This window comes from Homo sapiens, chromosome 9 (assembly GCF_000001405.40).
Source record: "Homo sapiens chromosome 9, GRCh38.p14 Primary Assembly".
NCBI lineage: Eukaryota > Metazoa > Chordata > Mammalia > Primates > Hominidae > Homo > Homo sapiens.
The window spans coordinates 63,313,955-63,341,750 of NC_000009.12; the positions used below are offsets into that span (position 1 = coordinate 63,313,955).

Genomic DNA, 27,796 nt, shown 5'->3' on the forward strand with positions numbered 1-27,796 from the left:
GTGAGTTCATCTCTGCACATGCCTAAAGAAGATAAATCAATAAATAAAAGAATAAAAATTAAAACTCTATATAATAAACACTTGATTTCTTAGTCCTGATTTCTCTTTTATTATGAAGACCAGAAGCAGAATGTTATTCTATTTTACCTAAAAATATATATATGATCTTTAGAAACTCCTTGTCAGCAATCATCTATCTGTGTGTGGGTGTATATATATATATACATATATATATATCTCATACAAACAATATGTATCACATTTATATGTTATCAAGCACAATCATATAATAAACCCACAAATGTCCAACTCCAAAACTAGAAAATTATTAATAGCTTGTACTACTCCTGTGTTCTTCCCCATCTGCCTGTAGGAATTATTTCTTTTTCTAAAATAGTTTTCTTACATACATATATATATCAAATAATGTGTTTTTGCTTATTTTTCAGCTACAAGATTGTGTCACACTGTATATAGTCTACCGTATTACTTTTTTTTTTTTTTTTGAGACGCAGTCTCACTCTGTCACCCAGGCTGGAGTGCAGTGGCACAATCTCCATTCACTGCAACCTCCGCCTCCCGGGTTCAAGAGATTCTCTCCTGCCTCAGCCTTTTGAGCAGCTGGGATTACAGGTGCCCAACTACACCAGGCTTTTTTTTTTTTTTTGAGACCGAGTCTCGCTCTGTCGCCAGGCTGGAATGCAGTGATGTGATCTTGGCTCACTGCAACCTCCGCCTCCCAGGTTTAAGCAGTTCTCCCACCTCAACCTCCCGAGTAGCTGGGACTACAGGTGTGTGCCATAACACCCGGCTAATTTTTGTATTTTTAGTAGAGACAGGGTTTCACCATGTTGGCCAGGATGGTCTTGATCTCTTGACCTCGTGATCCACCCACCTTGGCCTCCCAAAGTGCTGGGATTACAGGTGTGAACCACCACACCCAGCTACTGTATTACTTTTTATGCCTCCAGAATTTTTCTGTGTTGTTGCAGGTGTCTGTTGTGCCTTAATTTTTGCTATTGTAGAGGATTCTATTATGTGCAATTGCACAGCAGTGTATGTATCTGTTACCCTGTGGATGGACATTTGGGTTGTGTCCAGTGTCTCTTGACCACTTACCTTGTGCCATGCCCCCGACCCTCCTGCCATTACTCCACAATCTAGCTACATCCACAAAGCCATGACTTCACAAAACCCTGTCTTCCACTTCTGAGCTCCAGACCATATAAAAGGCATAATGGTGTTTATTGAGCACTTACTCTGAGCTAGAAACGATTCTCAACATTTTACATGTGGTAGCGCATTTAATATTCACAGCAACACAAATGGGAAGTAATATTCTTATCACCGTTTTACAAATGAGAAGACCAAGGCCCAGAAGAGTTGAATATCTTGCTCAAGATCACACACCTTTTGCCACCCCCCATTCCAAGTCCCATAGGCAACTCAGACTCAGCACATCCATGATGTAACTTATCATCTTCCTCTCCAAACCATTTCCTCACTTGTGCCCTACTCTCAGTGGGGACATCTCCAATCCCCAGGCCCAAGCTGGAAATCGGAAGCCATTTCTGACTCCTCCCTCACCCACTCCATCCAAATGGAGCCCAAGTCCTGTACATTGTACTTCTCGGGTATTGATCAATCCCGGCCTTTGTCTCCACGCCCACGGTGCTGACCCATTGTTAGGTGCCCGGCTGCTGCTCCTGGGTCATCACTTCCCAGCACTCTCTTCGCAGGCCCATCTCCACCATTTCCAGCATCCTACACACTGCGGCTCAGGTGTGCTTTCTAAACCTCACCTCACCATGTCCCCACCTCCAGAATGAAGCCCAGCCTCCTCTGCCCATCCCCTCAAACTGTAAAGTGCAGATCCCAGCCCCAAAAAGGACACCCCCCACCACAATACCCTGCTCTGTCTCCTGCTCTGGGAAGCCTCCTGGCCTTGGCCCAGAGGCTGGATGTGAGCTCCCCCACCCCAAGCCCCACAGCCTCCAAGCCTCCCACTCTGCACTCACCTTCTTCCTTATAATTACCTGTCACCCATTAAACTGCAACCCTCAAAGGCAGAGCCCAGTGCATCCACTGCGCATCCCCAGTGTCCAGGCAGGGCCTGCACACAGTAGGTGCACAATAATTGTTGAAAGGCAAAATACATGAGCAATGACAGGAACCATGGGTGATACTGCCTTCTGAGCCCCAGGCAACAGAGTGATTCCTGCCTGGCCCCAGGGTCAGTGGATCCTGGCCCCTCACCCCACCCAACCTCTGCAGCTGCTTCCCTGGAGCCCTTGGAGCCCTAAGAGGCCTCTTCCTGTGTCTTCATGTGTTCGAAGGATTTCCCTCTTTGCATCTTCCTTTCCTATTCCTTCATGTGGGAGCACTCTGGCACCAGGAAGAAGAAAGAGGAGCCCAACCCCTTACCAGCCTTCAATCTATAACAAGCATTCTCAAGGGAATTAAAACTGATTCTTAAAAGGGGAGGTGAAAAAAAATCTTACTCTTTTTTACGTATAAAGCACAGAACATATACAGAACATAAACAGATGTATAGTATATCTGTGGTATTAAAATTTCATGTGATTAAGAAAAAAAATCTGGAATTATACTAGGGAAGGCACTAATGAAAAAAAGGCTAAAAAATTCTGATCTACCTTCTTGGGCCATGCCTTGTCTGGTCCAAGAACCGGCCAGAACTCGGGGAAGGGAACAACCAGGGGAGAGTCTAGAGTCCAGTCTCAGGATCCCCTCAAAGTATTTCCAAAGCCAGCCCCCCACCAGTCAGCTACAGTCCTTTCACCAAAACTGCCCTTCCTTCCCCCTTGCCTGAAAATCCCTCATTCTGTTTCTGTCATTCTTTCATCTTACCTTGTTCCTACTGAGGGCGCAGGTCAGCTCTTCCCCATTCTCCCCCTGGGGCACCCCAGTTCCCAGGGCATGAAAGACTTGAGGTGCCTCACCTCTACACCTTGGGCTAAGACATAGCCCTAGAGCTCCTGGAAGAACCCAGGAGGGAAGCCCAACCACAGGAGGCCCCCAGGAAGTGGGGGTACTGCTGTGGGACAAGCTTCTCTTTATTGGGGAAGGGATGGGATCACAAATAATCTCTGCTTAGAAGTGCTCTAGGGCCATGGATTCATGTAAGGGTGGGGCAGGGTGGACTGAAGATCTGTTGGCAGGGCTCACGGAGATGAGGGTAAGGGGAGAGATCATGGGTTCATGAGATCCCATCTTGGGCAATACGGTTATCCCGTGGTCTTCATATGCCACAGAGTCCTCCAATTTCAGGGGCTCCCGTGGGATGGTGGAGCCAATGAAGACCAGGTAGATGATGCCACCTAGAGAGGCACCCAGAAGTGGTGCCACCACTGGCACCCACCACAAGTTCTCCCCATCGCTGCAGGCAAGAGGCAGAGGCCGGCTGAGGGGGCTGATGCCCAGGACAGCACCCTCATCCACCTCGGGCCAAGACTGGTTGAGCAGAGGAGTCATCCTCAGGCTAACCCAGGAAACACCCCCAACCCGGGGCCCTGGTCAGCCTCAGCCCGACTCAGGGACAGGGTTGACACTCAGTGCAGGTGCAGGATCTGTATCTCTACTGGCCTGGGGAAATGTTGGGACTCACTCCTGCTCCCCAGGCCACCTGGGGGCTCTGCAGGACCCTCCTGTGCTGCCCCTCACATCACCCCCCACACCTCAACACACAGGGGCCCCACAGAAAATCTCAAAGGAATGGGCCTGGGCAGGGGCAGTACCTGAAGACCAGTTTGCCCCAACCAGCAATGAAGGTGAAGATGCGGGGGGGGGGGGCAGGTCCCGGGACGGATTGATGGCATATCCTGTGTTCATGCCATGGTACACCCTGATGATGACCACGAGGATGCCTATCACCAGTGCGTGTGTTCCTGGCAGTGCTGGGTTGTTCTCCTGGTCCACGATGGCGAAGAGACACAGCTGGAGCATCCCGGTCAGCCACTCCTGAGGAGCAGATGCTGTGGAAGCTCACCTGGGCCCCTCCCCAAGCCACAGGACCTCGGCAGTGCCCCAGACCCAAGCCCACCAGCAGAGACACATCTTGGTACAGTCTCCATCCAGAGTTCTTGTCCTGTCTATCCGGAGGGACTCCCTGCTGGCTCCGTCCTGAGGGGTGGAGGGCAGGGGGAGGGGTACTCATCCTGGACCACTGACCTCATTCAGGAAGCCCCGCCACAATGTCATGTGATCAGGAAGGTAGGTGGCAAAAATGCCAGCTGTAGCAACGGGACCGGTCACCATCAGCTCTCCACCCGAAAAGTGGAGAATGGCCGCTGTGGAGACACAGACTATCACGCGAACCTGTCCCCAACTAAGCCCCACCAGGGTCCCGGAAATGAGGTTATAGGTTAGAGGGTAGGAGATCTCCAAGGCTTTTTTCTCCCAGCTATTTTTTACAAATCAGGACACTGAGGTCCAATCTGCCCATATTTCATAGGAGGCAGCTGAGGCCAGAGGCGGACACCCGGGCAGGACGCTCACTGTAGAAGAGACTGTAGATGGTGGCAGCCGCCAGGAAGGAGCCCAGGAACTGCCCCAGCACATAGACTGGAAACTTCCTCCAGGGCACACGGCCCAGTGCACAGTTAGTGAAGCTCACAGCTGCGTTCATGTGGGCTCCTGCGGGCAGCAGGCAAGTGTGTCAGGGAGCGAGAGCAGAACAAACAACAGTGACAAACAGTATGAGAACAACGATGGCTAGCGTGTATGACAGCATGCTCCGTGACAGAGTTCTCTCCTTGAGCCCTCACAACCACCCCGTGAGGCAGGGGCCACCATCTTCGTTTCACTCTTAAGGAAACTGAGGAACACAGAGGCGATGGCTTGCCTAAGATGACCCAGCCAGTGAAAATGGTAGGTCGGGGGGGCCAGGAAGAATCTGGGGCAGACACGTCATAGGCACGGGGTTCAGAGGAGACTTCCTCCCGCCCGGTGGCCAGGCTGAGGCACTGGCTGTGCTGGCAAAGGAGCTGGCTGAGGCGGGCAGGAAAGAGCCTGTTGGGGACACCTGGTCTTGCCCGGTCCGGCAGGGCCTGGGCTCACTCACCAGAGGTGCGGCCTGCCATGTGCACTCCCATGGTGACTCCGAAGCCAAAACCCAAGTTGACACCAAGGTAGCTCCCAAATGTTTTATTTAGAAGCATATGGGCCACGGAACCAAGGCCGAATACCTACAAGGGAGGGCCTCTAAGGGGGCTGCCTGCCCAGAAGCCCCAACCTCAGAGGAGGGCTCAGAGCTCAGTTCTAGCTCCTCACCCCCATGCCCTGGGCCTCCCTGGCGTTGCCTCGAAGACCCTCTGCCATGCCCTCTTCCTCCAGAGCCTTCCCTCCTCACTGCCTCCTCTCCTTGCCCCTGCTGAGGCCTCTCAGACCTGAGCCACTGAGAGCCGGGTGGAGCAGCAGAGTTAGAAGCTCTTACTACAAACATCCAAGCACCTCAGCCCCAGGCCCACCTGAAGTTTTGGGGTGAGGCAGGGCTGCAAGGAGGGGATGGCTGGCATGCATTGCACCCCCTCAGAGTCCCTCACACTTCAGGCTGACCTGAAGGAAGTTTCTTCAAGGGACCTCCAAATCCATCCATGCCTGACTCTGCCAGGAACCCCTCCCTACACACACACACTCCACCGCAATTCCCACAATGCTGGAACAGTGGGGCCCTAACTGTCTTGCCCTCAGCTTCATTTCCACTGACCTCAGGCGGCATTCCCAAGCTGCTGCTTCTTGCCCATCCCTCACGGCTCCTCAGATAATGCTGCCTTCACAGGGGAAGGGGCCTACCTTCAGGCCCATTACCCTCAGTCTAGAGCCACTGTTCCCTTCAGCCCTGGCTCCTGTGCTATCCTCTCCCTCTGCAGAGGCCTCCGTCTCCCCCATACCTTCCATCCTCCCATTGATCGGTTCCCACACACTGGAGTCTCATCCTTCCCAGCAAACTGTCCCACCCCTGCCCAGTGTCCTTCTCCAGCTGTGGGTTCCTGGTTGCCCCCTCCCTGTTTCAGTCAGGCTGCAGGAGAGAACACACTGGCCAGCTGCTTCACCCCTTCCCTCGCACCCCCTCCTCAATCTGGCTTCCATTTCCACATGTCACAGACACCAAAGCTCTCTCCAAGGGCTCCAGCAACCTCCTGATTTTCCAAAGGTCTTTTCAGGCATGGTTTTACCACGTAGACAGTCTCAGCTATGCCTGATGCGCTGAAATTCCCGTCATCTCCGTGGGGGAGCCAGATGCCTATTTGCAAATCCCCACTGCAACTCTCCTGGTGTTCCGCGGACGTCTCAGGCTCTGTTGAAGGTTCGCCATCTCACAGCACACCTGCTCCTCACTCTATGTTCCCCATCCCCGTTGGCCGAGCCAGAAACTCAGATGTTGCAAATGATAGTTAAGCACTATTATTCTCCCCCACTTGACAGATGGGTAATCTGAAGCTTAGAGGACTTGAATGGCTTGTCCAAGGTCACACAGCCTGTACATGGTGAGCCAGGATTAAATCCAGGCAGTTACCTGTCCCAGATGGCCTCAAACCAAACAACTGCGCTGCTCCATGCATGCCTTGCTTTCTTGTGCCTCTGTTTTATTTGTTTGTTTGTTTGATGCTTGAGATAGGGTTTTGCTCTATCACCCAGGCTGGAGTGCAGTGCCATGATCAGGGCTCATTGCAGCCTCCATCTCCTGGGCTCAAGTGATACTCCCACCTCAGCCTCTCAAGTAGTTGGGACTATGGGCATGTGCCTCGGCACGCAGCCAATTTTTTTTTTTTTTTTTTTGAGACAGTCTTGCTCTGTCGCCCAAGCCGGAGTGCAATGGCGCAATCTCGGCTCACTGCAACCTCCAACTCCCGGGTTCAAGTGATTCTCCTGCCTTAGCCTCCCGAGTAGTTGAGATTATAGGTGCATGCCACCATGCCCAACTATTTTTTTGTATTTTTAGTAGAGACAGGGTTTCACGATGTTGGCCAGACTGGTCTCAAACACCTGACCTCAGATGATCAGCCTGCCTTGGCCTCCCAAAGTGCTGGGATTACAGGCATGAGCCATTGAGCCCTATCCCAGCTAAGTTTTTCAATTTATTTTGTGTAGAGATGAGGTTTCACTATGTTGCCCGGGCTGGTCTCGAGCTCCTGGCCTTAAGCAATCCTCTCACCTCAGCCTCCCAGAGTGCTGGGATTACAGGTGTGAGCCACCATGCCTGGCCAGAATATCCTAATAATTTTACATTGATTGCATCTTGAAATAGGATTTTGGCTATATGGGTTAATTATTAAAATTAATTTCACCTGTTGCTTTTTACCTTTTTAATGTGGATACTAGAAAAAATTAAATTATACAGATGGCTTGTATTGTATTTCCCCTGGAGAACTCTGTTCTAGAGTTGATAAAGGAGAAAACCTGAAGAATTGTAGACATAAGGGCCAAAGTCAAAGCCGACAGAGGAGAAGGCCCCAGGAGAGGGTACAAGGTAAGAAGGCAGACCAGGCCGGGTGCGGTGGCTCATGCCTGTAATCCCAGCACTTTGGAAGGCCGAGGTGGATGGATCACTTTAGGTCAGGAGTTCAAGACCAGCATGACAAAACCCCGTCTCTACTAATAATACAAAAATTAGCCAGGCGTGGTGGTGCTTGCCTGTAATCCTGGCTACTCAGGAGGCTGAGACAGGAGAATTGCTTGAACCCAGGAGGTGGAGCTTGCAGTGATCCGAGATCACACCACTGCACTCCAGCCTGGGCGACAGAGCAAGACTCCATCTCAAAAAAAGAAAAAAAAAAGAGTTGAAAGGCACCAGTGTAGACTCCTCTTCGAGAATTCGCCTGAGGAGCGGGGAAGAGAGAACATGATCCCGTGAAGGGGCTGACAGGGTGAAGGAAGGGATGTTTCATTTTGTGTTGTTTTCAGTGGAGAAACTTCAGTATGTTTATAGGCTGAGAGAGGGATGGGCTGAAGATAAAGGACAGAGAAAAAGGACAGAGTAAAGTACCTGAATAGGCTGGACAGCTGGATTGGTGCAGAAGTGGAGGTGTCCTCCAGGAAGGAGAGGACCCCACCCCAGCCAAGGGGTGATATGTGGATACACGGGTGGTTAACGGGTCTGGTGGTAAGAGGGACAAGAGGGTGAGCTGAACATAGGAAGTGTTGATTATTTTACCTATCAAGCAGCAGATCAAGCCATTTGCTGATTTAAAAAAAAAAAAAGAGTACAGAGCAGCTTTGGGGAAGTCTGAGAAAATGTGAAATAGCCCAGATATGGTGGGGGAGAGGCAGCTGAGCAGGGCCCACTGGGTCCCTCAGAAGCCCCAGGACAGGAGCAGGGGAGCCCAGAGCTAGGCTGGCTTCAGATCCAGGATAAGATACAGCAGGAGAGGACAGGAACAGATGGGGGTGCAGGGGGGAGTGAGGTCAGGACAGGTTGACAGGCTGGCAGGGTCAAGAGGTAGAGGGACTGGAGGAGGCATGGAGGGTCTGAAAACAGAGGGGCCCCCATGGCCTTTCCCGCATTCCAATACCATGTGCTAAAAATACTGGATGAGCATAGGCCGGGTGTGGTGGCTCACGCCTGTAATCCCAGCACTTTGGGAGACCGAGGCAGGCCGATCATGAGGTCAGGAGTTTGAGACCTGCTTAGCCAACATGGTGAAACCCCGTCTCTACTAAAGATACAAAAAATTAGCCAGGTGTGGTGGCACATGCCTGTAATCCCAGCTACTCGGCAGGATGAGGCAGGAGAATCACTTGAACCCGGGAGGCAGAGCAGTGAGCTGAGATCACACCACTGCACTCCAGCCTGGGCAACAGGGTGAGACTCTGTCTCAAAAAAATAAAATAAATAAAATAAAATACTGGGTGAGTGAATGAACCCCACATGATTCCTTGTGTCAGGGTTGCCAACTGGCAACTCATGCACCTAATTCATCCAGCGCACAGATTTTGTTTAGATAACTTGGTTTTGAAGAACAGAAGTTTCCGTCTCTCTTGAAAAATGAGCAGCTCAAGCAACACTGGCCTGCATTCCACCCTCCATGGCAACAGTCAGCTGGAGTGGCAGCAGCTCTACAGCCTTGCACAGATTGGCACTCTGCAGCCAGCCAAAGTCCCCACCGCCCTGAGTTGCCGCTCTCTTGGCCCCCGTAGCATGTGATCTACAACCCTTGCCCCGTGTCTCATGTGTATGGCTGGTTTTCCAGGGCCCGGATGGCTCCAGCCCCTCCTCTCCCTGATCAGTGAATGTGGCCCAGCCCATCCAACTCTCCCCCACAGCCAGGAGGCCAGCTCCAAGGGCAACACACCTGGAAGCTGCAACACGGATCAGTCCACTTCCCTTGTCCTGGCTGCAATAAATGGGGCCAAGGTCACACTAGCTTTTTTGGCAAAACTTCACCCTGGTGACTCACTGAGATTCCTATATATATATTTACAAAAAAAAAAAAAAAAGCCCTCACTTCTTGGCACAGCCTGGCAACTAAAAATAACAACACCACAATATCCGATATAGGCTTACGCCTCACAAAGTTCTTTTACAAGTGCTACTGTCTTCAATCCTCACAACAAATCTGCACAGCAAGAATTTTTCTCCCACTCTATAAGTGGGGAAACTGAGGCCGAGAGAGGCATCTTGAACTACCTGAAAGTGAGGACTTTACCCTGGCTGGGGGAGCATTAACAAGCCAGTCTTTAAAAGCTGGCAATATTTAAGCTAAGGTACAGAGCATAGAGGTTAAGGGTCAAGACTGTGATATTGGGCTGGGCACGGTGACTCATGCCTGTAATCCCAGCACTTTGGGAGGCCGAGGTGGGAGGATCACTTGAAGTCAGGAGTTCAAGACCAGCCTTGACAACATGGTGAAACCTTGTCTTTCCTAAAAATACAAAAATTGGCTGGGCATGGTGGCATGCACCTGTAATTCCAGCTACTCCAGAGGCTGAGATGCAAGAATCACTTGAACCCAGGAGGTAGAGGTTGCAGTGAGCCGAGATTGCACCACTGTGACAAAGCAAGACTGTATCTCAAAAAAACAAAAACAAAAACAAAAAAGACTGTGATATTAGACTGCACTGGATTTAATCTTGACTTAAAGTGTGACCTTGGGCAAAAGGCTTAGTCTCAAGGAGCCTCAGTTTTCCCATCTGTGAAACTGGGATAATAATAGTACCTACTTCACAGGGCTATTGCGAGGATTTGGGAAGATGCTGCACGTAAGGGGCTTAGCATCACAGAGCCCAGGATGCATTAGGTGCTCAATGAAAATCTCAACAAAAGGAAGAGGAACACAGATGTGGGCAGGTATCAAGCATGTGGGCGGTGCCTATTTCCCTAACAGCTCTCAGAGGATGCACCCTCCTGCCTCCGAGGCTCCAAGGGTTAACAGCCCTCATGGGGCTGGAATGTCTTGTGGTAAGTGAATTACTTTGCCCTGGATTAAGGAGGGACAGGATCCAACTGCTGTCCTCACAGCTCAGGAGCCAAAGCAGGTGGGGAGGTAAGAGAGGAGTAGGGGAGGGCCAGAGACAGAGAGGAGACAGCAGCTAGAGCACCCGTCCTAATAACAAGGGACCAATACATGGGTACCACACTGGGTGCTGAGACTTGGCCTTCTTCACACAAGTCCTCCTGTTAACCAATAAGGAAGCTAAAGTTGTGGGCCGGGAGAGGTGACTCACGCCAGCAATCCCAGCACTTTGGGAGGCCGAGGCAGGAAGGTCACCTGAATTCGGGAGTTCGAGACCAGTCTGGCCAACATGGTGAAACCCCATCTCTACTAAAAATAGAAAAATTAGCTGAGCACAGTGGCACATGCCTGTAGTCCCAGCTACTCAAGAGGCTGAGGCAAGAGAGTCACTTGAGTATGGGAGGTGGGGGCTGCAGTGAGCTGAGATCGTACCACTGCACTCCATCCTAGGAGACAGAGTGAGACCCTGTCTCAAAAACAAGAAAGCTAAATTTGTGAACAGTTAAGATACTTGTGGATAGTCGCACAGCTAGAAGATAACAGAGCTAGGATTCAAACGCAGCTCCAAAGCCCACGAAGGCCTAATTCTACACCATATAAGTGAGAAGTCAGGCTTTAAGCCAGGGAGAGACCTGCCCAAGGCAACTGGTCACTCAGTGGCAGGGTCAGGCTAAGAAACCTGGTGTTCCAATTTCCTCTCTCCCTTGAGCTCCATGGGCCCCACCACACACACAAACAGCCTCTCTCACCCCACCTTCCTCTAGCATGCACCTGGCTGCCTTTGCCTCCCTTCCCAGAGGCTGCCCCTTCTTTCTCTAGACCCTGGACCCTGCATAAGATGCAATAAACATGGCTACAGTCATGTTAAGGGCAGAGGCTCACTGGGGTAAGTGGCAGGGCTGAAGCAGGTGCAGAGGGAGCAACCTCACATCCCACCTGCAGTCTGGATTCTGTCCCAATCACACACTAAAGAAGAGCCCTTGTCAAGGTTACCAGCAACCTCCACATTGGCAAACCCTAAGGCCCCTTGCCAGTGCTCACCTTGCGTGGCCCATCTGCCGCTGCCCATGCCGCTGATGGCTTCTTCCTGGTGGAACCACTGCCCCCCTCTGTCATGCAGTCGGCTCTGGTTCTCCTCCCACCTCTCTGACCATTCCTTCTCAGGCTCCTTTGCGTGCCCCTCTTCATTCCTCAGGGCTCTGTCCTCAAACCATCCTTTTCTCTTTCTGTACACTCCTTCTAGACAGTGTTGACAACCACCACCTGTGTTGTGATGAACTTCAACTTTTTCCTTCCAGACCAAGCCTCTCCTGAGCTCCAGCCCCTTGCCTGTGTTTAACTATCTCCTGGATTTCCCCACAGGCATCTTGCCTCTCACCCTGTGCTGGGCCCCGTGCTCCAGAACAGCTCATCGGCGCTTTGCCCACATGTTCTGCTGGCAGAGTCTCCCCGATTCCATCTCCCACAGCCCTCTCAAACATGTGCTTTCTTCTCCAACCCCAGATCAGTCATCACCCTCTCTCTGTCCCAGATCAAAAACAGCCTCTTAACTGGTTCCTTCTTGCCAGCCTTGCCTGTCCTGCTTATGCTCCACACTGCACACAAAATTACCTTTAAAATCCAAATCTGATCATGTCACTCCCCTGCTTGCCAGCCTTCAACATCGCCCATTGCCCTCTGGATTCATTATCAGAGCCTGATCATCAAGTTTCTCTTCAATCTCTCTCTTCTCTTTTTTTTTTGAGACAGAGTTTTGCTCCTGTCACCCAGGCTGGAGTGCAATGGTGTGATCTCAGCTCACTGCAACCTCCACCTCCTGGGCTCAAGTGATTCTCCTGCCTCAGCCTCCTGAATAACTGAGATTACAGGTGTCCGCCACCATGCCCAGCTAATTTTTGTATTTTTAGTAGAGACGGGGTTTCACCATGTTGGCCAGGCTGGTTTCGAACTCCTGACCTCAGGTGATCCACTTGCCTAAGCCTCCCAAAGTGCTGGAATTACAGGCATGAGCCACTGCACCTGGGCCTCTTCAATCTCTTTACTCTGGGTTTCCCTTCTCCCCATTTCCAGCCTTGCCCTGGATACCCCAGTGCATGGTTTCATTTGACCCCCACATATTATGAGCCCTTTCTGTCCAAAAAGACTTGATGAGAAAGCCCCCCCTCCTTACTTTCCTCGCTGCTTCCCCAGGCTCCCAGCTCAGAGGCAAGGAATGGACAATGTGACCCATGGGGTCAGAATGGGGAGGGGGTCATGGAAGGCCCTGGCAGAGCCCACCCACTTTGTGCTGCCCACCCACTCACCATCATGACATATGTGCTCATGAACTCGGCCAGGAACTCTCGCGCCATCTTCCTCTCATCTTCCTCGCACCATATTTCCTGGATCTTTGCTATCACGGACCAGGAGACCATTTTGGAGCCACGGGTGGACCTGATACAGTGGCCCGAGCCCATGGACAGAAAGGAGACTCAAGTCTGCCTGCTGCCCATCGGCTCTTCAACTCACAGCTGAGTTAATAGGTAACCCAGCAGACTTGCCACACACACCTCCTCTTGCCCGGGGCAGCTGGGACAGCTGGAATTGGAGACACTTGAGAGCCATGGGGACATGGAGAGGAACTGGGGTAGATGGCCAAGCCATGCCCCTTGTAGTTGGGACTGGACCAGTAAAAATGGCACACCAATGAGGCCACTTTGCAGACGGGCAGGTGGGGAGCTGAAAGTGCAATCCACGGTGCCAACAAGCCTCTGGGAAAAAGCAGGGTGGGAGAGAGCAGGCTGGAAAGTAGAGCTCAGTAGTCTATGTCTGTCCATCTGTCTGTCTGCCTATCTGCTAGAGCCAGAACTTTGGGGTCACAGGCCAGGGCCTGGCAACAGTGAGGCACTCTACAAACAGCATGAGGTGTGACAAAGTCTGCTGCCGAGCTCTGTAAACAGCACTGAACACTGAAACATGCGCCAGGTTCTGTCAAAAATGAAGGGGTCAGCAAAATGCACCAGGCTGTGCAACCAGGTCAGTGCAAACAGAGGTTTGTGAGAGAGTGAGTGAATGAATGAATGACCGAGAGAGGGAGGGAGAAAAGGAAGGACTGGATCTACTTCCTGGTGTATCTTCAGTGCCCAGCACCATGCCAGGCACATAGTAGATGTGCAATAAGTATTTGTTGAATGGGTGAAAACTGGGGAATCTGTCTTACTCCCAACTAGATCCTCAGAGCTTCCCAAAGGGCCTGGCACTTGATTTATATTTAGTTAAGTGCACGATTAGATGGAAAGGTAGATGAAACAGGTGAGTAACAGGTTCCAAATCTGCGTATAGGGAGAGGTATAGGACTGGAGTTTGGGGAAGGTGGCGGGGTGGGACTGGAGGATAAAGAGGAAGAAGAGGGGCTGGGCCCGGTAGCTCACGCCTATAATCCCAGCACTTTGGGAGGCCAAGGTGAGCAGATCACCTGAGGTCGGGAGTTCGAGACCAGCCTGACCAACATAGAGAAACCCCATCTCTACTAAAAAATACAAAATTAGCCAGGCATGGTGGCGCATGCCTGTAATCCCAGCTACTTCGGAGGCTGAGGCAGGAGAATCACTTGAACATGGGAGATGGAGGTTGTGGTGAGCCGAGATCTTGCCACTGCACTCCAGCCTGGGCAACAAGAGCGAGACTCCATCTCAAAAAAAAAAAAAAAAAAAAAAAAAAAAAGAGGAAGAAGAGGGATACAGATACCTCTAAGTGTGGCCTTAGTCACTCTGCTATCTCACTGTCTGCATGCCCGGAAGCTGACACCAGCCCCTCAACTCCTCTGGCCAGCCCATCCTTGCACATCACGTACTGCCTTAGCTGCAGGCCTTTGCACATGCCAGTCCTACGCCCAGAATGGTCCCCTGCCTCCCCAGAGGCTCCTTTACCCGCCAGCCTTCTTTTCTTGACCTAAATTTCCCTTTCTCTGGGAGAGCCTCCTACCCTCTCCTCTAGGCCATTCACTTCTTCCACATGCCCCACGGTGCCCACTCTTTCAGCTGGGGCAATGCTCATCACACTGCATAGTAATTGCTCAGTTAGGCCAGGCACAGTGTCTCACACCTGTAATCCCAGCACTTGCCGAGGCGAGCTGATCGCTTGAGCCCAGGAGTTCAAGACCAGCCTGGGCAGTATGACAAAACCTCATCTCTACAAAAAAAAAATACAAAAATTAGTCAGGTGTTGTGGTGTACGCCTGTGGTCCCAGCTAATGGGGAGGCTGATGTGAGAGGATTGCCTGAGCCCAGAAGGCAGAGGTTGCAGTGAGCTGAGATCACACCACTGCACTCCAGCGTGGGTGACAGAGCGACACCCTGTCTCAAAAAAGAAAAAAAAAAAAAGCTTAATTAATTAACGGTTTTTCTTCCTAAGGGCTGGGATCATACCAGTTTGCTTCACTGCAGTGCCTGAACATAGTAGGCATAGTAGATTCAATAAATCTTTGGTTCCTTGGCTGGTTGTTACCTGCTCTGTGCTGATGAGAAAGGAGCCAGGCTTCCAGGATTCCCTTGGTGTTCTTGGCTCCCTGCTCTGTCTACCTCTCCCCTGCCTCTATGGTACCTTCCCAGGACTGTCTTTGGGCTGCTGCTTGCATTGGTAGGGTCTCTTCTTCAGGGCTGAGGAGGCTGGTCATGGGATAATGAGACCCCTATACGATGCTGCATGGGAGCTGGAGTTGGATGGGGGCCAGTGGAATATCCGCGCAACTCTGCATCCCCTTCCATCTACTCATCCCTGGTTTTGTTTCTCTGGGGTAAGGAATAGAGCAAGGACTGGGATGGGTGAGCTATGAACAGAGGGTCTCAGCTGAAAAGTGGAAGATGTTTTATTCCATGCCTGGACGTCTCTCATTCCCTCTGCTTACTTTTTGCTGCTGTGAGGTCAGGGGAATTTAGGAGCCCTGAGGAATGCTGCTGCTCTCCCTAGCAGGGCGAGGTGACCCTCCACTGGCTCCCATCCAACCCCACCTCCCATGCTGGAGGTAACTACAGAAGAGGAGAGAGAAGTGGACAGAGCAGAAAGACAAGAACACCAAGAGAATCCTGGAAGCCTGGCTCCTTCCTCATCACCACACAGCAGGCAAGACACAGTAAGCAACAGATAACCACCAACCAGCCAATGAACTCAAGATTTCTTGAATCTACTGTGCCTAGAATGTTCAGTCACTGCAGTAAAGGACACTGGTACAATCCAGCCTGTGGGAAGAAAAGCAATCAATTGAGCAATTACTATGCAGTGTGATGAGCATTGCCCCAGCTGAAAGAGTGGGCACCGTGGGGCATGTGGAAGAAGTGAATGGCCTAGAGGAGGGGGTAGGAGGCTCCCAGAGAAAGGGAAATTTAGGTCAAGAAAAGAAGGCTGGAGGGTAAAGGAGCCTCCAGGGAGGCAGGGATCACTCTGGGCGTAGGACTGGCATGTGCAAAGGCCTGCAGCTAAGGCAGTATCCAATGTGCAGGAATGGGCTGGCCACGGAGGAGTGGAGGTGGCATGAGATGGGCAGAGAGGGGCCAGGGCCAGGTGGCAGAAGGCCTCATGGCCCACATTAGGGAGTCTGAACTCTACCAGAGGGCCATGGGCCAAGTGGAGGGTTTCAGCAGGAGAGCTGCCTCCCCTGTGGAGGCCAGGATGGAGGAAGTGGAGTGGAGGCAGGGTGAGCATCAGCTTCTCCACAGATGGGTGGAGAAGTGGTGGCAGCCTGAGCCACAGAGATGGCAGTGCCAATGGCCACAAGAGCACAGTCAAGCTGAAAGGCTTGGTGTTCGGTTAGAGAGGGAAGGGAGCGGGGCAGCTCAGCGATGCCCTCAGGTCCTGGCTAGGGCAGCGGAATGACTAGCGTGGGGCACAGCAGAGAAGCTGTGAAAGAATGGACAAGGAGGCCCTTTCTGGACATGTTGAGTGTGAGGAGCCCGCTAGACACTTGGGTGGGATGGCCAGTGAGGAGGCAGCTGGTCATGTGGTCTCACTTACAGACACATTTGGAGGACAGCAAATCACAGATGGTCATCTGAGCCATGGGCATAGATGAGAGAGCTCAAGGAGAGGGTACAGACTAAGAAGAGGGGCCCAAGAAAGCCAGCCTACAAAGCAAGAAACTGACAGCCAACCAGATCCCCTAAGTAATCTGTTAACCAAGGAACTAAATAGCTAACAACTCACTAATGCCTGTTTCTTTTCTTTTTCTTTTTCTTTCTTTTTTTTTTTTTTTTTTGAGACAGGGTCTCACTCTGTCACCCAGGCTGAAGTGCAGTGGCACAGTCACAGCTCACTGAAGCCTAGACTTTCCAGGGTTCAAGTGATCCTCCCACCTCAGCCTCCCAAGTAGTTGGGACTACAGGAGCATGCCACCATGACCGGCTATTTTTTCCTATTTTTTGTAGAGATGGGGTTTTGCCATGTTACCCAAGCTGGTCCCAAACTCCTGGACTCAAGCAATCCTCCAGCCTCAGCCTCCCAAGGTGCAGGGATTTCAGGCATGAGCCAACATGCCCGGTGGCTTATTAACCCTTTGACTAACCTATCAAAAACCAACTAACTGATTCTCCTGTTAACCAGCTATTAACTCATTGAATTATCTAATCAACCAGTCAACCATAAACTATCCAACTAACCACGAGCCAACAATTCAACCTGCTAGCCAACATTTCTTCATTCAACAAACATTTGTTGGCCAGGCATGGTGACTCATGCCTGTAATCCCAACACTTCAGGAGGCCGAGGCAGGTGGATCACTTGAGGTCAGGAGTTCAAGACCAGCCTGGCCAACATGGCAGAACCCCATTTCCACTAAAAATAAAAAAAAAATTAGCTGGGCATGGTGGCAGGCACCTGTAATCCCAGCTGGGGTGGGGGCTGAGATGTGAGAATCGCTTGAGCCCAAGAAGCAGAAGTTGCAGTGAGCCGAGATCATGCCACTGCACTCCAGCATGGGCAACAGAACAAGACTCCATCTCAAAAAAAGAAAAAATTTTTGTTGAGCACCTACTTATGAGTCAAGCACCAGGGATACAAAGTCAAAACCCACTCTCCACTCTTGGGTCACTCTGTTTAATAGAAGAGATGGGTAATGGCAACACCACCAGAGAGAAGCAGCCTGGGACTGGGGGAACTCAGGGGAGGCATGGGAGGTGAGGCCTGAAGGGAGTTTTGAAGAATGGGCGGGTGGTGGCCTGACATGGCCATGGGGGAGTAGGGTGGTGGTAGAAAGAATGGTGGAAGCTGTGCACATTCTAGATATTTTAGGAGATTGGTGACTGGATGTGAGGCATGGGGAAGAGGGAAGTATCAAGGACATGACCTTGACTTCTGGCTTGAGCAACTGAAGAGAAGGGGACCCCTGACTGAGCCAAGAGCACAGGAGGAGTGGACTTGTGGGGGGCGGAGGAGGCTGTTTCCATCTAGGAGCTGAGTTGCCTGTGAGACACCAGTGGGTCTCTAGAAACAGGATCTAAAGCCCTGGAAAGAGACGTAGGCTAGAGGCAATGATGTCAACAGAGGGGCACTATTCATTCTCTCCGTCCAAGTGTACAACAGGCAAATATCCCTGCTTGCGTGGAGCTGACAGCAATGAAATGTAATAAGTAAGTACATTTGTATAAGCGAAGGTACCAGCTCCTATGGGAAAAAACAGAGCAAGGAGAGGGGAATTGGGAGTGCAGGGGCTGGAGATGGGGTGTGATTTCAAATAGGGCAGTCAGAGTAATCCTTGTTGAGAAGGTGGCCTTGGAGCAAAGCCATGAAGGAGATGAGAGTGGGCTGTATGTTAACTGCAGAAAGCCTCTCAGATGGAGGGAATAGTCACCAGAGGACTCTCAGCATGTTTAAAGAAAGCAAAGAAAGTCAGTGTGAGGCCAGGTGCAGTGGCTCACACCTGTAATCCCAACCTTTTGGGAGGCCGAGGCGGGTGGATCACCTGAGGTCAGGAGTTCAAGAACAGCCTGGCGAACATGGCGAAACCCCATTTCTACTAAAAATACAAAAAAAAAAAAAAAAAAAAAAAACAAACAACTAATTAGCTGGGCATGGTAGTGTGTGCCTGTAATCCTGTAATCCCAGCTACTCAGGAGGCTGAGGCAAGAGAATCGCTTGAACCCGGGAGAAGGAGGTTGCAGTGAACCAAGATCTTGCCATTGCACTCCAGCCTGGGCAACAGAACTGGATTCCATCTCAAAAAAAAAAAAAAAGAAAAAAAAAACCAGAAAAGAAACTCAGTGTGGCTGGAGGAGGGAGAGCAGGGGGCTGGAGTGGGGAGGCCAGAAAGCTAACAAGGACTACATAGGCAGGGCCTTGGCCATTGCAAGGACTGGCTCTTTTTCACCCCAAAGACAGCTGAGCCTGAGAGGGTGAGAGGTGCTGAGTGCAGTTGAGTTGAAGGCCACCTGCATGCCTTGACCCTCATCCAAGTATTTCTGAGCCTCCCCTCACCCCAGGACCCAGCCCAGGCAACAGGTGGAAGATGCTTTTCTTCTGGGACCTCAGAGGTGAGTGGGTGGGTGGGGAGGAGGAGGTCGAGGGGGGACAGCTGCCCCAAGGGAGAGGCTGAGGATGGAGCAGGGAGGGCACTGAAGTGGGCTGGGTGGAGGACAGGGGGCTGGAGGGTGAGAAGAAGGTGGGGTACTTACCGCCTGTGCCCAGATGCTTGAACCATGTTTTGTCCTTCAGATTTGTAGATGCTGAGGAGCCAAAGAGAGGTCACTAGGGCTGGAGGACACAGAACTTGGCCCCACACTTCCATCAGACCTTTGTCCCCAGGGGAGAAGCCCTGGGGCAGCTCCTGCTAGTGCCACTCCCTTAACCCAGCCAAGGAACAGGGAGGGAGGAGCGGTGCTCAGCCAATGAGGTGACGCCCTGGAGCCCCACCCCACCCATGCTGGCCCCAGGACCCCAACCCCAGGCCAGACCCTCCAGTGCTCCTGCTGACCTTCCCTGTCTGCAGCCCAGCTTTGGACTGTGGAGATGCCCTCAGCCTCTACTCAGTGGCTCCAGCCTCATATTTGCGTGCTATACCTTTAACCTCAAGTTCTCTTGCTGCTAACTTAAGCTGTGACTGTCCAGGACCTGCACACACACATACATGCACGCATGCACACACACACACACACACACACACAGAAGGTGAACACACAGGATGAGGCCCTGAAAACTCATTTCACCCGTGTACCTCACCCAAAAATTCCCCTTTGTACTCCTATCTTTATCTCTAACTGACAGCATGAAGGTAGCCCGAAGTCCCCTCACCCTGTCTGTCCTCCTGATTCTCTAGCCCAGTTCCCTCTAGCTCCAGCACAGACTCTTATCTCCAGCCCTGACTGCTGAAACCCTCCAGCCCCAGCTCCAGCCCCTCAGGAGGGGACTGCGTGGGAGGAATGACTCCAGCAAGCCGGCAGCTGACCCGTCTCTGGCCTGCATGCCTCCCCCTGTGGTCCACTGCCGGTGGTCTTCAGCTCTCTCCTCGTCCCACCCCCATGGTCTGCTGACAGCCCAGCCCAGTGCATCCCTGCCATCTCTGCTCTACCGCTGGTCCTCCCAACAACCAACTTACAGGTAAGGAAACTGAGGCCCAGAGAGAAGGTGTATGTGCCTGTGTCACACAGCAACACAGGACTGCACCATAACAAGAAAGCCGGGACTTCCACTCCCAGCCGGGGCTCCTTCCCCAAACAATCCCTCAGTCACCTCCTCGCTGTATGGTACCCAGGGAATGGCCCTTCCAGATCTGGGCACTGAGGAGGCTGCCCCATCCCCACCCTGCCTGGAGCCCCACTCACTCTGCTGAAATGTCTTCTGATTCTCAGCCTCTGCCTTGGGGGCTTCTCAGTTAAAGCGCATCTTGATCTTGTTCCTCTGTGACTGTCCCTGGCTCAGCTTCCACCCCCAGCTGGGGCTCAGCTATCCCTGTGTCCCCAGTCCAGAGCCTGCCTCTCAGCCCTCCCAGGGCGGCCTTGAGCACTGCTCCTGCTCCTCCAGGGGAGAGGTCAGTAAGGCAGGGATTTGGCTGGTGCCACTTGAACCAAGTCCAGATGCACTGCCCAAAATAACATCCCTCGTCTGGCCAGCAGTGCAGTGGAGACCGAGTTCTGAAGCAGGCCTTTGTGAGGTCAGAGGTGGAGTTCTGGGTGGGCACTCTGGGCCTCACAGTCCCAGAGGAAAGGCCTGTCCTCCAAGCCAATGTGCAGCCTGACTCTGGGGCCAGCGCCTGAGGAAGCCCTCCCTGAGCCCCAGCCCTGGGGAAGGCTGAAGAGGCCTCTGAGCTCCCAGCGCTGGGGAGCGCTGTGCAGAATAGGACTGGAGGTGAAAGTGTTGGAGATTAACAGCCAGATGGAGGGGACGGGGGGAGGCCCTGGGTCAGTCCTCAGGGAACCCCCATTCTGAAGGGGGAGAGGGAAACTCAGGCCCAGTCCTCAGGGGCCCCCAGTCTGAGAGGAAGGAGGACACACGAGCCATATTTGCAGAGAAACACCAGCCTGCGAGAGGAGGTAGAAGCCCAGGCCTGGCCCTCCGAGGGCCCCTAGTCTGAGGAGCAGTCCACCTGCCCTCGGGAAAACACCTCCCTTAGGAAAGGCCAGCAAGGCCCCCGTAAAGGAGCCACAGCTGGATCGGGGCATGGGGCTCGGGGCCCAGCGGTGTGGGAGCTCCGGGACCGAGGTGCAGTCAGGAGAGACCCTGGGGGCCAGTGGCAGTCCAAGAGGACTTTTGGAGCCAAGGCCTGACTGGGTCTCAAACAATGGGGCAGGCAGTTTGGGGTTTCAGCAGGTGGCCCAGTGCTGAGACACAAGGGAGTTGTTTCTGGTCTGCAGACACTGAGGACACTTGCTATGTGGCGTGGTGGATGGTGGGTAAGTCCTGGGAATTTCTGGCACCAGGTTCCCTGGGTGGGAAGGGGCATAGGATTCAGTTGTCCAAAGCTCAGGTGTGGGAATGGAACTGTCCTGTAGAGGGTGCCAAAGACCAGGTCTGGAAACTGCATAGCCCCAGTCCCCACCCCCACACACACCATCCCACCCCTTCCAGCTTTTTCTGCAGGTCTTTCTGCAGGGGTGAGGCAGGGAGAGGAAGGGGTCGGCCGCAGTTCTGGGGCTTCCTAGTCAGAAGCCCTCTGTAAGGCACTAACTTCCCTCTTCCCTCTGCAGATTTTTTTTTTTTTTGAGACGGAGTCCTACTCCACCCAGGCTGGAGTGCAGTGGCACAATCTTGTCTCACCACAGTCTCTGCCTCCCAGTTCAAGTGATTCTCCTGCCTCAGCCTCCCAAGTAGCTGGGATTACAGGCATGCACCACCAAGCCCAGCTAGTTTTTTTGGATTTTTAGTAAAGACGGGGTGTCACCATATTGATCAGGCTGGTTTCGAACTCCTGACCTCAGGTAATCCACCCGCCTCAGCCTCCCAAAGTACTGGGATTATAGGTGTGAGCCACTGTGCCCGGCCTCCCTCTGCAGATTCTACGTGGGCTCTAAGCAGCCTCTAAATTGCCTGAACACCTAAGGCTTATTTGCTAGTTGACATCTGATCTATTCTGACACTGAAAATTTCAGTGCTTTAGGGTGCTAAAAGGAAAAAAGAGGGTTTGCGAGGAATCCTGCAGTTGCTGAGGGGGTACCCTGATAAGGGAATTTTAAGCAATTACAGTAAGTGTCACTAAACTTTTTAAAAAATCTTTAACCAGATTAAACTTACACAATTTTGTTATAATTTGTGTTTCTGCAGCTTCCAATTGTGGACAAGATAAGGACCATTGCCCAGGCTGTCTATGGAGCCAAAGATATCGAACTCTGTCCTGAGGCACAAGTCAAAATAGATCGTTACACTCAGCAGGTAAAAGTTGTACTTTTAGGGGAAAAGAAAAAATTCACCTTAGGCTCTCAGAATACTCAGCTTGACTTGAGGATTTGTACATGTCTCACCAGCTAACCTTTGCTTAATCTATTTTCTGGTTAACAAAGATGAAAGCAATATCCTCGGGTAGAGTGTAAACTATATTTAGAACTTTATGGTGAGGCATGTATCCTCTGATCCATGCATGATTTACTTCTGTGACTATAAATGTGTCTGATATGGGTGGTATCCCTGTTTGTAGGTGATGTGTGATCTTTCATCCCTCCCACTCAGCCCAGAACGTTGAAACTATCCTTTGGAGTAGAGCTGCGGAGTCAGATTTGCATGAATTGCAATGCTTCCTCTTCCTTACAGGCCTCTTACTACCTTAAAAATGCTAGCAAGGTGCCAGGGTAGGCAGATAGGAGTGCAGCCTATAAAGATGGGAATGTTTGCTGTTCTTATGCAAGCGGTTCATTGGCTTTTTACTGAGCTGGTCCACTGAGGTTGAAGGCTCCATCATCTTCTACCTCTAGCCACTGAGAAAGGCAAGTAGGCAAACAGCTGGGAAGGTGGCTACGATCTGACAGCATGTGTCATCACCTAGTCCAGTGACAGTCATGATGAATCAACTCCATTATAGGAGGCTCAGCCACCTTTTACCAAAAGGATCATGTGCCTCCAGTGTCCCTCCTACTTTGGTGTAATCAGATAGATAGAAGTCAGAACATTTTAAGAGCCTGTTGGCTAAAGAGCTTCATGATTGGTAGTGTTGACCTTATCTTTAAAAACAATCTCCAACTCCTTATTCTTTTTTGTAAACCCATTTGAAATTTTGTTAAATGCTACCATTGCCAGCCAGGGTATTTGTTCTCCTAGGTTTGGTAAAATAGGAACTCAGAAAGTTCTAAATTCTTAGAATTTTCCCTGATGTTCTTGGCTTACCCTTTACAAAAAGGATTCCCAAGCACTGCTCTGTGCCTAGGCATTGTGGTGAAGTTTTCATTCATGTGCAATGAACCAAGTAAAATAAGGTCATTCTCATGAGGTTGCTTTGTTTTTTTTTCCCCGAGTTTTTAATAATGATATTTAAGACTATCATTTATTGTAATATTAAGTCTTTTCTCCTTTCAGTGTTAAAATGTTATTTCTTTTATGAAGTAATCTGGTGACAGTATATAGCATACTGGTTGGTTTCTGTTTCTTTTTAATATGCCTACTAACAAAATTTTTACATTAGCAAACCTATAGAAATTACTTTAATATTTAACCATGTCTGAAATTCAAAATTCTGGCACCATTCTGAAAGGCAGTTGTGATTCTCACTCAGCAAAATTCTTATCAGTATAGAAGAGTGGAGATTTCAAAAAGAAAATGGCCCCAAGCCCAAGTCCTCCCTAAGTTGATAAGACTCTAAGATCTTCCAAATAGTTTTAGGCTAAGTCTTATGAAAATTTGACTAAAGATTTCATTCCCTTTATCTCTATCAAGGAAATACTCCTTAAAAGTCGTGTCAACCAGGCACGGTGCTCACACCTGTAATCCCAGCACTTTGTGGGGGCAAGGCAGAGGATCAGTTGAAGCCAGGAGTTGAGACCACTCTGAGCAACATAGCAAAACCTCCATCTCTATTTTTATTTTTTTTAAAGTTAGTGCCAAGTATGTGGTTGCAATGAATTAGCAAAGCCTCTAAAGGAACACTGTGTGCCATTTAATCAGAAACAGGCTTATAGGACACTGTGCTTTTTGTGAGACACCACATGTGACTTCCTGCTCTTTCACCTTTGGAACTCTGGGTCAGACATAGACTTTTGTCCTTAAAAACAGGAAGCTTAAATAGTGACCTCATCTTAGTTCTTGTAATGTAGTTGCAGATCAAATAACCATGATTCATAAACCAACACAAAGGAACCCTTTGCTTCTTGACTGACTCCAGAATGAGTGAACAACATGACTAAGAGCCTAGTCGCAGAGCCTTTCTCCAGACTACCTTGCTGGGTCCCGGATATTAATAGTCTTGGAAAGCGGTTTCTACAGCTGCTGCTTTGCCTGCAAATAGCAATGCTTTTCCCAAACTTGCACATAACACTGCCTTCTCTTAACGAGAACCTCCAAAATAAACAATAGTCACCCTTGACCTACTAAACAGTCATCACATAGAGATGAGTTTTTATCCTCACCTTCTTGCTTCTTCAGTGAACAAGTAGTAACAAGCAGCTCCTGCATGTGCCTCGATCTGAGCTGGCATACCATTGCTGCCGAGACTGTATAAAGTGCAAATTGAAAAACACAGGAGACTCACATCTATATCAGTGAACACATTTTCTTTCCTTTCTTACAGGGTTTTGGAAATTTGCCCATCTGCATGGCAAAGACCGATCTTTCTCTGTCTCACCAACCTGACAAAAAAGGTGTGCCAAGTGACTTCATCTTACCTATCAGTGATGTCCGGGCCAGCATAGGTGCTGGGTTCATTTACCCTTTGGTCGGAACGGTGAGTGAGTCACATTTTCCAAAAACCCTCCCCATTCTGCATTGTCGCAGTGCCTCAAATCGTTATGCTCCACCCGCTCTTTAAAAATCATGGATTAGGGAGAATTGGGAGTAATTAATAGTACAGTATTCGCTATTTTTCTAAACACTCTGTCTCACCTACCTTTGCCATTGTGGTTTGGGTTTTTCTTTTTTTAGATCATGTGTTCAGGATCCTTAGAGTCATAATACTAATTTCCTTCCTAAGGCAAGTAAGAACATAACTTGGGAGAATTCAGTCTATTTAAATGGTAGAATGGCTTAGGACAGTGGTTGTCAACCTTTATCACACATAGCACCCAAAATGATGTAATCAGTAGGGTTGAATGCTCACACCAGACAGGATCTGCCCAGTCACCCTAAGGGCTGGGGAAAGCAGTCCTCACCCTCTCACTTCCCCAGCACATCAGGTGGGAAGTTCTGGCTTAGGAAATTACTGAATCATATGAATTCTCATTTTTGATGTTGTTGTGATGGGATTACGTTGCTATTGGTTGATTATTCTGTTATTTTGTGTTATCTATGGAGGTAAAGGAGAGGAGAAGAGATATAAAAGCTTATCAAAGTGCTTAAAATCCATGAAGATTGGCTTCATTTGGTATAGCTACAGAGTGATAGCCTTCCGTTGGTACCATCAGTGGCCTAAATTTGATTTCTTGTCTTTGGGAGTGCTCCTGAATTTGGTTTAGAATAAAAAAGAATTCTTAAAACCTGGCAGATCCCATGGCAAGAAAAGAAAAAAAATTCTAACCCATCATTATCATCATCATTAGTGCAAAGTGATCTGAGCTTAAACAGCATACATTATAATAATTTTTTATAATAAACCATGTGGCTCTATTGTGCAAACAAGCAATAGACAGACAAAAAGTGCAGATTCTTGCCTTGATATTTACATACTTCATCTAATATTGGACACAATGTTTTTTCAATCAGCATCATTTGAATTCTTCCTGCATGTGAGGCACAGAGATTTTAAGATGAGCAGGTGTGAGATGCATGGATTTGAATAGCATAGAGGTATCTGGAGAGCATTGTGTTGGTATTCTGAATGCCCTCAGATCCCAGGGGGATAACAGCTCATTATGCCTGGGGTAGAACTTACCTGGGCTGTGGAAGAAGAGGGGATTCTTCAAAAAGGGCTCAACCTCTGAACTGGCAAAACAGTGAGTTTTGACTCAAAGGCACCAGAGTACTAATACATGACATCCTCTCCTGGGGTGATCCAATGTGGCTGGAGTTGGATGAGGTGGGGAGGCTGGGGATGGGAATGGGAATGGGATTGGGATAGCAGGACGGGGTCACATGACCAAGGATCTTGAAGACCATCTCACGGAACTTGAATCTGATCTCTACACACTGAGGAGCCACGGTAGGGTGGGTTTTTTGTTTGTTTCTTGGTTTTTTTTTTTTTGATTTTTTGTTTTTAAAGAAGGAGGAGAAGAATGTGGTCTGATGTGTATTTTAGAAAAATAGCTCTGGCAGCAATGTGGAGAATGTTTAGTGAAAAGAGAACCAGGCCCAGAGAGGTGGGTTAATTCAGCTGGGGCCAGAGGAAATCAAGGTCCGCACTTTGGCCACAGAAGTAGATACAGAGAGTGGGGGTGAATTGCAGACATACTCTAAAAGTATCCTCCTACAGTAGGGGCCGGGTGAAGGGACTGTTCTAGCTTGGTGACTGGCTGGTGATGCCATCACCGTATCATGGAAAGGACACGGGAGGAGGCAGATTGGCCAAGCCAGAAATGAGCCTGGCTTGAAGAGAGAGAGCTCAGAGGGTTAATAGGATCTAAGGAACAGTCTGTGTCTCCACTGGAAATACAGATACAGCTCTCCAAAGAAAGGGGCAGGAAGGTCGCCCTGGTGGGTTTAAGGATATGGGTGAAGGCACTCATTAAACAAGAGACACAGGGATAGCTGGAAATCAGTGAGAAGAGAGTAAAGGAAGACACCCCTGAAACACCCACTTTAATGCAGCCGACTCCTGGCAGGGGTGCCTTCCAGAAGGCAGGAAGGAAGGAGCAGGGGCATGGCAGAGAACGTCCAGAAAAATCCCACAGACACCGCTCACAGCAATGTTGACACAGAGAGAAGGGTCCAGATGAAATGGGTTCTGAATGACATTTTCAGGTCTACAGTTCAGATCAGCAGTTGCCAGGAGCTGGGGGAGGGAAGTGTTTGACTGCAGAGGGGCAGGAGGGAACTTTTTGGGATAATGGAAATATCCTATGTTTTGACATGGTAGTGATTCCATGGCTATATACATTCTTCCAGACTCATAGACCTATACACGTGTGTTGCCCAGGCTGGACTCAAACTCCTGATCTCAAGCAATCCTCCCACCTCAGCTTCCCAAGTTGCTGTGACTATAGGTTCGTGCCACTGTGCTGGGCCTGTGTATCATTTAGTTATACCTCAGTTAACAAAAATGGGTAGTGAAGAGCTTGCTGTATATTCCTTAGAATGGCCTCAGTCAGCCGGGTGCAGTGGCTCATGCCTGTAATCCCAGCACTTTGGGAGGCCAAGGTGGGGGGATCACAAGGTCAGGAGTTCGAGACCTGCCTGGCCAAAAGGGTGAAACCCCATCTCTACTAAAAATACAAAAATTTGCTGGGCATGGTGGCGGGCACCTATAATCCCAGCTACTTGGGAGGCTGAGGCAGGAGAATTGCTTGAACCTGGGAGGCAGAGGTTGCAGTAAGCCAAGACTGCACCATTGTGCTTCAGCCCGGGTGACAGAGCAAGACTCCATCTCTAAATACATACAGACATACATACATAGAATGGCCTCAGTGATGGCCACTTTACTCCTGAGCTTTAGTTGGCAAAGGCCTTGGCTTAGGGATAAGAGGGTGGCTGGACAGTGCAGGCCCAGAGAGACTGGACCATCAGGGGAAGTGAGGGGTGATGGAGGTGCCCAAACAGAGCATGAAATGGTAGAGTAGATGAGAAGGTTAGCCTCG

The 27,796-nt window shown here is 50.3% G+C and overlaps 2 pseudogenes across 6 annotated transcripts in view, besides 1 other annotated feature; one reads left to right on the forward strand and one right to left on the reverse strand.

The window, feature by feature from the left end:
- Positions 1-1,288: 1,288 nt before the first annotated feature.
- Positions 1,289-20,566, reverse strand: AQP7P1 (aquaporin 7 pseudogene 1; annotated as a pseudogene). The gene is made up of 4 exons (NR_002817.2): positions 20,258-20,566; positions 19,112-19,162; positions 12,776-12,905; positions 1,289-3,978 (listed from the first exon to the last, which is right to left on the reverse strand). The product of NR_002817.2 is annotated as an aquaporin 7 pseudogene 1 (transcript).
- Positions 15,668-16,168: an enhancer, noted in NCBI's record as "H3K4me1 hESC enhancer chr9:67284594-67285094 (GRCh37/hg19 assembly coordinates)". NCBI's record gives its function as "activates a minimal SCP1, AML or CMV promoter by ChIP-STARR-seq in primed H9 embryonic stem cells {active_cell/tissue: H9 hESC(primed)}" and the evidence as "EXISTENCE:reporter gene assay evidence [ECO:0000049][PMID:30033119]".
- LOC100996643 (methylenetetrahydrofolate dehydrogenase (NADP+ dependent) 1 like pseudogene) overlaps positions 19,384-27,796 on the forward strand; it is a 45,510-nt pseudogene continuing 37,097 nt past the window's right edge. For 3 of the 5 annotated variants that reach the window (NR_160665.1, NR_160664.1, NR_160666.1), the window contains exons 1-3: positions 19,384-20,033; positions 22,194-22,301; positions 24,643-24,795. The product of NR_160665.1 is annotated as a methylenetetrahydrofolate dehydrogenase (NADP+ dependent) 1 like pseudogene, transcript variant 3 (transcript). Of the gene's footprint in view, positions 20,034-20,583; positions 20,781-21,222; positions 21,326-22,193; positions 22,302-24,642; positions 24,796-27,796 lie in introns of those variants that run through there. The other 2 variants (NR_160667.1, NR_160668.1) reach the window with 2 other exon arrangements.